This window comes from Homo sapiens, chromosome 4, assembly GCF_000001405.40.
Source record: "Homo sapiens chromosome 4, GRCh38.p14 Primary Assembly".
NCBI lineage: Eukaryota > Metazoa > Chordata > Mammalia > Primates > Hominidae > Homo > Homo sapiens.
Genome location: NC_000004.12, coordinates 31,984,040 through 31,995,036, shown reverse-complemented (window position 1 = coordinate 31,995,036; position 10,997 = coordinate 31,984,040). Strand labels below are relative to the sequence as shown.

The following is a 10,997-nucleotide window of genomic DNA, read 5'->3' as shown; positions in this document are numbered from 1 at the left end:
TTGGGGTGTGGGGAGGGGGACCAGATGACCAACATGACAAATGAAATAGCTAGTAAGTTAGGTAGAGATACTTGCTAAGGAGAAAAATAAATAAATAAATAAATAAATAAAGGAGGAAAAAGAACAGGAAATGGTGTGGGTGGATTTCAGTTATACAAAGGATGGTCAGAAAAAGTTTCACTCATCAAGGTGACATTTGAAAACTACAGAAAGTGAGGAGTGGTCCAGAAACACTCCAATCACAAAGACCCAGAAGTTAAGAATGTGCTGGTTATTTTTAAGGAATAGCAAAGTAAACAGAAACAGAAAGAAATTTGAGGGAGAGAAAAATCAGAGATGAAGTTAGAAAGTTAACAAATGAGAGGGAGAAGGTTGATATTGTTAGGCTTTGCTTTTTTTCTTTTTTCTGAGTAAAATTGGAAAACAGTGTAAGACTGAATTTATAGCATAATCTTGCAATGTTGTGTACAAATCTAGTTCAGGCCATGATGGCAAGTGGGGAGTAGGACAGACCTCACTGTACCCTCCTCCTATTGGAATTCAGGCACAACTGACCAGCATTAACATTAAAACAGAGATCTTAAGACAGACAAAACAGACTCTTGTGTAGCGATAAGACACCGAATTCCAACCTGACTAGTATAGATTGCAGACCCTGAAAGACATTAAAGTATTTTTACTCAAAATATATTTCTTTGACAAATTTTGAAATGGCCCTGGAAAGCTACCTTGTAGGGAAAATTGAAACATCTTTGCAAAAATTATAACTGAGAAAATTATCATAGTGAGGTCGGGTGCAGTGGCTCACGCCTGTAATCCCAGCACTTTGGGAGGCTGAGGCGGGTGGATCACGAGGTCAGGAGATCGAGACCATCCTTGGCCAACATGGTGAGACCCCCGTCTGCTAAAAATACAAAAAAAAAATAGCTGGGTGTTGTGGTGTGCTCCTGTAATCCCAGCTACTCAGGAGGCTGAGGCAGGAGAATCGCTTGAACCCGGGAGGCAGAGGTTGCAGTGAGGCCAGATTGTGCCACTGCACTCCAGCCTGGCAACAGTGAGACTCTGTCTCAAAAAAAAAAAAAAAAATTATTATAGTGAAAGAGATCTGACGTAACTGAGTCCGTCTTGCTTCTAACCTCCAAGCTGTCCTTGTTTACTCCTGGAAATAGGACAAACTAACTTTAGGAGGATCTTAGTTTGTCGTTTAACTTTAAAACATAGATAACAACCCTTTCCCAAAACAAACCCCCTTCCTGCCTGGGGACTAAATACCCTTTGCAGGACTAACAAATTAGCCACAAGTTTAGAAATGGTTTAGGAGTCATGCAGCTGGAGGCTGCAGGATTCTGAACCTCCTCCTCAAATTGCTCCTGGGGATAACCTCACTGTTGTAAAACCTAAAATCAGTGCTTGAGATATTTTGCATACCCTGTATGTGATGGCGCACCCAGCACCACCCAGATCCAAAAACTGACTTACCTGGTATTGTGGCCTCTACCCAGTAATTGACTCAGCACAAGACGACAGCTTCAACTCCCCGTGATTTCCTCTCCAACCTGACCAATGAGTACTCCCTACTTTCTGACCCCCTACTCGCCAAATTGTCATTAAAAACTCTAACCTCCAAGTTCTGGGGAGACAGATTTGAGTAATAATGAAACTCCACTCTCTTGCACAGCCAGCTCCATGTGAATTAAACTTCTGTATTGCAAAATCTCTTTCTTGATAAATCAGCTCTGTCTAGGCAGCAGGCAAAGAGAACCCACTGAATGGTTATAAAATCTCAATTTTGTCTAGAATCCTCTTCCCTTTTCAGGTCTTTCTCTGACTCAAGAGAGAATTAACTAAGAGTCTGGCACCATCTTAGGTCTGATGAGAGCTCTGAAGCCTGCTACCTGGAGGCTTCATCTACATGATAAAAACTTGGTCTCCAGAACCTCTTATCTTAACCCAAATATTCCTTTCTGTTGATTTCAGGTCTTAAAATAATAACTCTTTCAACAAATTGCCAATCGGGCAATCTATTTTTTTTTTTTTTTTTTTTTTGAGACGGAGTCTCGCTCTGTCTCCCAGGCTGAAGTGCAGTGGCGCGATCTCGGCTTACTGTAAGCACTGCCTCCCGGGTTCACGCCATTCTCCTGCCTCAGCCTCCTCAGTAGCTGGGACTACAGGCACCTGCCACCCCGCCCAGCTAATTTTTTGTAATTTTTAGTAGAGACGGGGTTTCACCGTGTTAGCCAGGATGGTCTCAATCTCCTGACTTCATGATCCGCCCACCTCGGCCTCCCAAAGTGCTGGGATTACAGGTGTGAGCCACCGCGCCCGGCCCAATCAGGCAATCTTTAAATTCACCTATGACCTGGAAGCCTCCACTTCAAATTGTACCACATTTCCTACCTGAACCAGTATACATTATGCATGTATTGGTTGATGTCTTATGTCTCTCTACAACACTACAACATGTAAACCAAGCTGTAACCTGACCAACTTGTGCACATGTTCTCAGGACCTCCTGGGGCTGTGTCATGGGCCACTGGTCATATATATTTGGCTCAGAATAAATGTTTTCAAGCATTAAAGACAAAAGTCCTGGAATTCTCTAGAGAGGAAAAGAGGAGAATGGTTTTAGTAGGCTTAAAATAATTTAAGCCATACATTTTTGCTATAAAAAACAGTTGGTATATTAATAAAGTTGTACTGTGAACATTATAAACAACACCTATGGCTTGCCTGACTAGACTAAACATACTTATGACCATTTAAATCCACACTTGTTTGGAAATATAGGATGTTTAACATAACGTGAAATACACCATGACACAATCCTGCTACTTTATGTGAAATGACACTTTCTTGTCATCTTGACATTTTCTTAACATCTTGACATGAAGAGATGGATTCTCTGTTCAGCCTCCACACCTGTGTCAATAGATACTTTCAGAGTGGAGATCTCACAGGTCATAGTCTGCTTGTTTTGCCTAACAGGTTTTTCTCCAGCCAACTAGTTCAGAATCTTACTTTCTTCTCTCTTGATTATTGCAACAAATTGTAAGCTTGTCATTTGGCCTTCACCCCAACTTCCACTTAATTATTCAAACAACTGCTGGAATAATTCTCTTAAATAAAGGTCTAATTAAATTAATTATCTATCAAAAGACATATTTTGATAATAATTCTTTCGACCTGTTGCCACCCTCCTTCGAGTTGCCCTGCCTTTCCTGGCTGAACCAATGTACATCTTACTTGTATTGATCGATGTTTTATGTTTCCTTAAAATGTATAAAACTAAACTGTAGCCCAATCACCTAGTGCACATGTTCTCAGGCTCTCCTGGGACTGTGTCATGGGTCATGGTCCTCACATTTGGCTAAGAGTAAATCTCTTCAAATATTTTACAGAGTTTGACTCTTTTTGTCAACAGGAAGCTAACGCAAGAATCGAGGCAATGGATGATGGTGATTTGAATTAAGATGGTCAAATTTTGTATATTGTTGGAAGCTAAAGCAAAATAAAATTTTTGATTGGTTAGCTTGGTGATGAGAGAAAGAAAGGAGACAAAAACTGACTTTAGGGTTTGGCACCTGGTCATCTACAAGAATGATATAACCATTTCATTGGTAATGATAAGGGAAGAAATGATTAAGGGCAGAGATCAGGAACTCAATTTGGGGATTATTAAATATGAGATGATATTCGATCTTTAAGGGGTGTGTGTGTGTAAATCAAACTAATGTACCACAAAATCTATTTCTTTGACATATTTTGAGATGGCTGTTCAGAAAGGCAGAAAACAGAAGTAACCCAGAAATGCTGTCTTTTGTGGGAGAGGTTTATGTCTATGGAGAATCTGCCTTGATGCAGTTAGACTTTCCCTTTTCCTGATCTAGGAAGGATTAACTAAGAGTCAAAACACTTTTAAAGGTCTGAAAGAAACATTTATTGGTCAGGTGCGGTGGCTCATGCCTGTATTCCCAGCACTTTGGGAGGCCGAGGTGGGTGGATCACAAGGTCAGGAGTTCAAGAGCAGCCTGGCCAAGATGGTGAAACCCCATCTCTACCAAAAATACAAAAAAAAAAAAAAAAAATTAGCGGGGCATGGTGGGGGGGTGCCTGTAATCCCAGCTATTTCGGAGGTTGAGGCAGAGAATTGCTTGAAACTGGGAGGCGGAGGTTGCAGTGAGCCGAGATCGTGCCACTGCACTCCAGCTGGGGCACAGGGCAAGACTTCGTCTCAAGAAAAAAAAGAAAAAGAAAAAGAAACATTTATCATCTATGCTTTTTGAGGGCTGCTACCTATGAGGTTTTTACATAACAAGACCACTTTTGCTAGCCAGGCCTCCTCTTTTTTTCCTCCCATAACCTGTCTTGCCACTGTAACCCGATTTGCCACCATAACCTGATTTTGACTATACTGTGACTCCCCATTCTTTTCTGTTGCCCCGAGATGGTATCAAAGCTTCTGCACCCCATGGGAGAGGTAATTACTCTGTGGTTCTTACCGGTGTGATATTAATAAATTTGTATGCCTTTTCCCCAAATTAATCTGCCTTTTGTGAGTTGATTTTTTTTTTCTTTCAGCGAAACTTCAGGGGCAAAAGGGAAGCCTTCCCTTGGCTCTGACAGTTTATATATATACTCTTCTGAAACAAAAATCAATGATACAGATGAAAGAGAAAGAGAATTGCTGGGTGGTATTTTTGAGAAGATGACGTGCTTTACTGTACAAATTGATAGTTTGACCTTAGTTTTTCATCCGTTTGATTAGAACAGCAATTATGTAAGTATATGGTCACAAATATACATAGGTAGAAGTTATTTTCTAGTTGTTTTAATTTAGTCATTGAAATAGGAAGTATAGTTACCAGATGGGAGTGAAGAGGAGGGATTTGATATTGGGGAGAATAAAAAAATCAGGAAAGAGATGCTTAAGAAATTTGGAGAGTGAATGTATTAAGGAACAATTGTATTCTTACCGTGCAATGGTAAACACTTGTTTGAGATAAATGAACATGAGTGTTGAATACTAGTTGCATACATATAGAAAGGAGATTAGTGGATAGAAAGATTTAAACAAGATTGGAATTTGACCATATGAACACAGCACTGTTTGAGAGAAGCCACGGAGTAGATTTCATATACAAAAGCGTATTTTTAAATATTGTGAAATTTAAATATTATTTTAATAAATTTTTCAATTTACATGCTCCAGGGATAAGGATATGAACATATTGACAGATGAAGTATAAATTTTTTCATCCACTGCAACAAAGGAGGTAATGTTTTATAGTGATGCTACCAGTGGTGAATCCGTACAGGTCTGCAGCAACCTCAATTCTTGCCTCCTCAGAAGAAAGAATTCAACTGAGGGAAAGGCAGAAGAAGAGACAGAGGTAAGTTTTAAAGCAGGAATGAAATTTATTAGAAAGTTTTAGAGCAAAAAAGAAAGGAAGGAAAGTACACTTGGAAGAGGTCCAAGCAGGCGATTTGAAGGACGAGTGTGGGATTGAACTTTTGACTTGGGGTTTTATATGTTACCATACTTCCAGGGTCTTGCATCCCTTCTCCCATGATTTTTCCCTTGGGCTGGGCTGCCCACATGCATGGTGGCCTACTAGCCCTTGGGAGATAAACATGCATAGTGTGTTTACTGGAGTTGTATGTGTGCTCACCTGAGGCATTCTTCCCTTTCTGGTGGAATGCCCCAGGAAGGTCATATACCAGTTAAATTCCACCATTTTGCCTCTCAATGTGCTTGCTTGAGCTCATTCGCCCAACTCCTGAGATTTTATCAGGAAGCTACTGATCACCAGTGTCAGGTTTTTTCTACCTATTGGGAAACTCCCCTTCCCTGGGGCTGGTTGCAACCAATTATTGCTTTAGAAAGGCAGTGTGACGACTGCCTTTTCGTCACCTCATGGTCCCCTCACTTTCCTGGTGGGGTGTAGGGGCCCTCTCTTGCCCTGTTCATGTCTGCCTAGCTACCTACTTGAACAGCGATGGAGTTTACACTTGAGTGGGAGAGAATGCTTCTATGTAGTGTATGATTTCCATTAATTTATGTGTGGTCTAGTCATGTGCTGTAGCATTTGTATATTATACTGTTCTGAAATTTAAAAATGTAGTGAAAGTTGACTGAAGTGCTACATTAATGAGGAGATGTGGTAACTCATCAAGTATTTGGAGAATATTATATAACACCAGAGCGTGAACAACTGCTTAAGGTGACAAAATTATAATCAATTTCACCAGACATCTCTTTAAGGCATAACTAATGAAGGTTCTACCATTTCTTTTTCTTTTTTTTTTTTGGAGAGAACTGAGAACACCTTAGTGAAAGGAAGTGGATAATTTTTAGAGCACTGTAAACAACACCCATCACACTGAGGAGTGAGATGCTGAGGGAAGCGCCACCTAAAGACTAGCTGATTGTAGTAAGGGAAGGATGCACCACATCATGGTACAGGCTGCATTTCATCAGGGTGCCTGGTTTATGTAAATGGAAAATTCTTATGTGAGATCATGTAGCTGAGCCTATCTTATAAAAATCATAAGCTGTTCATTTTACTTATATTCCTTTCTCTTTGTCCTTTTCTTCCTCCATGCACGATTACTTGAACTTTGTTATTTAGGTAGAGGATGGTCACCAATTCACTAATAATTTATTCATTTGTGTCCTTACCCAGGAGGCTGCCCACAAGACTAGTGAATTTGTTTTCTTTCAAAGAACAATAACCCTTATATCATGCAGACCTCCTTGATCATGTCCAGACCTGGTGGATCAGCCCTTGCCACACCCTGAACTAGACCTGTTCACAGATGGAAGCAGCTTCATAGACCATGCATGTTATTGTGCTGGATACACAGCCGTTATATCTCAAGGTACTGTGGAAGAAAAAGCATTACTTCCAGATACCTCAGCTCAACTGGCCAATCTCATTGCCCTTACGCATAACCTGCAATTGGGTAAGGATAACATTTTTAATATTTATACAGACTCTAAATATGCTTTCTTAGTGGCACACACCCACAGAGCTATGTGGAAAGAAAGAGGGCTTCTGGCCAACCATAATAAATCAAATATGCCTCTGATATTTTGGCCTTCTTAGAAACTGTTAATGCCCCTAAATGGTAGCTACCATCACTGTATTGGTCATAACAAATGAGACTCCCAAATAGTCAAGGGAAATCAACTTGCTGACCTGGCAGCCAAGCAGGCTGCAAGAACATTGGACTTTGAGGCTATCTTATCTCTGTCAATACCTCTGGTTGATTTAAGTTCCAACCTTGCTGTACTGAGGGAGATTTAAAGAAGTCAAGGAATGGAGATTCACATCCCAAGCTCCAGCCTATCCTGACTAGAAATGTAATTTGGAAAGTATCATATTGGTTTCTGGAGCCCTCTTTAAAGATACAGCGAGCCAGTGTCATCAAAGCACCCATTAGGGAAAAGGTGCAACCCTTCAGTGACTACATGAGTATTTGGTCCCAATATGCAATGGGTCATTTAAAATGCGATCCATCAATGCAGGCTTAGTGCTCAAAACCACCCTACAATTTGATCCCCACACCCTCTTCAGAGGTTACAACATTGAGCAAACTCTCCATGCAAAGATTGCCAAGTAGATTTCACCACAATGCTGCAAGTGACCAGAGGCTACACATTTTTTGTTTTTTTGTAGACACATTTATGGGATGGGTGGAGGTGTAACCTAACCAAACAGAGAGGGCCTCCAAAGGAGCCTGCACGTACCCCAAAGAAATAATTTCCAGTTATGGTCTCCCTTTGACAATTCAGTGTGAGACAATGGAGTGGCATTCATCTCTCCGGTAGTACAGTGAGTGTCTCAAATCTTAGACATTGAATGGAAACTTCAAGCAATGTAGTAATCATAATCCACAGGAAAGTCTGAAAAAAATTAATCATACTATAAAAAGAAAAATTGCTAAAATTAGTCAGGAAACTAATCTACGTTGAGACAAAGTATTGCCCTCTGCCCTTTTGAGAATTTGACTTGCTCCCTAAAGCAGGCTCCAGTGGAGCCCTTTTGAAATTATGTATGGGAGACCCTTCCTGGCCATTCTTGGGTTACAATCAGGAGATTAAATCTTAGAAAAAGAAGGAGGCATTATTCTTTATTTAAAATTATTTAATGAAATACCAACCTTTGTTCATGAGTTTGCTTCTATCAGGTTAGCCTTTCCCATGGGCATCCACTTAATCCCTTCCAGGATGAAGACCAAGTCCTATTTAAGACAAGGAGGGAACTGGACCAGATCATCAACTAGCCCCTCAATGGTTAAGACCCTATGAGGTCCTTCTGACTACTCATTCATGTGTAAAGTTGGCCAGAGTTAAACCATGGATACATTCTACATGGATAAAAATTGCCCCTCCTCAGACTGGTCTGTCACATAATGGACCTGAATGAACCTGTGAAACAACTGAAAACCTGAAGCTGCTTTTTAAGAAAATCTACACAGATAAGTAAAACCTTTTGTCATTTAATCATGAGATTCTGGCTAATCCCCACAGTAATATATGGGGTTAGGCTGTTTGCTGAAACTAATCATTTCCTACCATGGGCGCATTATGCAGATAGCTGAAAACAGGAAACTTATTGGGTTTGGGGCTGTTCCAGTCTCTAGCATTTCTGGATTACCTTAGTGGGTCTCACCCCTACAAGGTAATAATGGATTACAAACCTTTATGAAAAACTATTCACAAGAAAATCAGACCCCTGGGATCCTAACAAAAGGAAATGGAAGGTGATGGCTTGGCATTAATGTAACCCTTCACCATGCATGTCACAGAAAACCTTGTATATACATCAGAGAATTCAACAAATTCTGAGTGTGGTATTTCTCTCCTGATGGAGTTTCCCTCAGTAGAACTCATAATTTTGTCTATTAACAGCTGCTATACTGAGGAAGGCTTTTATCAAATTTGGGATGATTATATTTGGATGACCCCCACTACCAGCCACTTACATCAAATTGCTCTCTTATGCTGGAAACCAAAAGTTATTCTTTTGATTATTGGCCAAATATTACTAAGAATGTGGGCTGGATGCCTCCACACTGGTGTGAAGATACTCCAGTGCTTCAATAAACCCACTGGTTCACTACTGATTGGACACAGAGGCTGTGTGGGACTAATGATTGGAACTCACTACTGAGTGGTGATTGGAAATCACTACTGATTGGAACTCATTGGCTATGTGGGACTAATCGTTGGCCCTGGCTGCCCATTGCATGGATAGAATGGTGCATGTTGGGTTTCCCATTGGTCCAGAACCATTTGACCAAAACCACTGGACAAACTGCAAATTTCTCTAATGTGTTGTACCAATGGAACAGACCAGTTTTCCACTGATAAGACCATGTCCTATCTAATTTTAATCCCCAAGTTACTTTAGAAAATATTATCTGGCATGTCAAGACCCTCACAAACTATAACCAACAAGTGCTAAAGGATGAATTCAAAGACATCTTTTTAGTGACTCTGAAATGACCACAAGGAGAAAAGCAGCCTTGCAGAATTTCATGGCCCTTGAAGTTCTCATGCTGCACAAGGGGGAACTTGTACCATAAACAAAACCAAATGCTATGTGTACATTCCAGACAATTCAGGAAACATCACCCTGACCCTTCAAGATATGCACAAAAATTTAATGCTATGTCCAACCCCACAATGTCACTAAACCAATAGTTATCTTTGTGGTTTAGATTAGAACCCTCTTAGTGGAAAACAATATTAATAATTCTAGCTGTGAGTATAGGAATAGAAATATTTTGTTGTTGTGGATTATATTGCTATTGTATTACATGTATGATATTGCAAGATTGCCTCTCTCAGAGGCTCCCGACAACCTGTTTAGTGATGTTGCAACAAATTGCCTCTGTACAACCTGGGACTCTTGAGTATTTCCAACTGCTGGTAACTAAGTTCCTTTCCTTGGCCCCATAGCAACACCCCTTTCGGAGGAAGTAGTTAGAATGAGTCAACACCCCAACTCTTCAGTACTGAGGCATGAAACAGTGACAGTGGGGATGTTGTAACTGAGCCTATATGATAAAAATCCTAAGATGTTTGTTTTACTTATCTTCCTCTTTCTTTGTCTTTTTCTTTCTCCATGTATGATAACTTGTACTTAAGTCATTTCAGTAGAGGTGGTCACCAACTCACTAATAACTGATTAACTTCATATCCTGACTCCTGGTGGCTGCCAATAAGATTAATGAACCTTTTTTTTCATTCAAAGAACAATAATCCTTATATCATGCAGACCTCCTTGATGTTGTCCAGAAGTTTGATCAGCCAAGGGAGGTAAGCAGCTTTGATCATTGAGGTCTCACCTCCTACATACCTACTGTATTCATAAATGTTCAAAGGCAGTAATGTTCAAAGGCAGGTCAGATTAAATATTTTGCCTGTCCTGTCTTGAGGATTTGGCCAAATTGTATAAACCTTTCTCTGCTCCTAAGCACTAATGTGTCAGTATTTGGCTTAGGATGCATGCAGTACTTGAAACTTGCTTTTGGTGTTCTACGGCAACAGTGCTTCCTCAGGAAACTTCAGCGTTTTATTCCTCAAAATCTCTCTTCCTACAAGGATTGAAAGAGAAAGTGTCAGTTTATTATTATATTTTCTTATTCCATGCTCCTCTGAAGAGTCTTCCCAACGTCCTATCTCTTAGCCTTGAAGAGCTTGCAATCTCATTGGAGATAAATTACAGAAAATAAGCAATCAGAATAAATACTTTTAAATTACAGGCTATGATGACTTTAAATTTAAGGGATATTAAGAGAAGAAAAAGATATAGACCAGGAATAAATAACATTTAGATGCTCAAGTCTGTATTTGTTTGAACACTTTCCTCTGGGGTCTGTGAGAGTTAAGGAGAGGACATAGAGCTTCATCAGATAGAAGAGATTCATTCTCATTATGTTGAAGGGTTTTCTATCTTGCCTAACCTTGTGAAGGTTTTGTTTGGCTG

The 10,997-nt window shown here is 40.1% G+C and overlaps 1 long non-coding RNA gene across 1 annotated transcript; it reads left to right on the top strand.

Moving 5' to 3' along the window:
* Positions 1–4,378: 4,378 nt before the first annotated feature.
* LOC107986222 (uncharacterized) lies at positions 4,379–10,544 on the top strand. Its single transcript, XR_001741502.2, has 4 exons — positions 4,379–4,777; positions 5,210–5,390; positions 6,749–6,963; positions 8,230–10,544. It is a non-coding gene; the product is annotated as an uncharacterized LOC107986222 (long non-coding RNA).
* Positions 10,545–10,997: the final 453 nt, after the last annotated feature.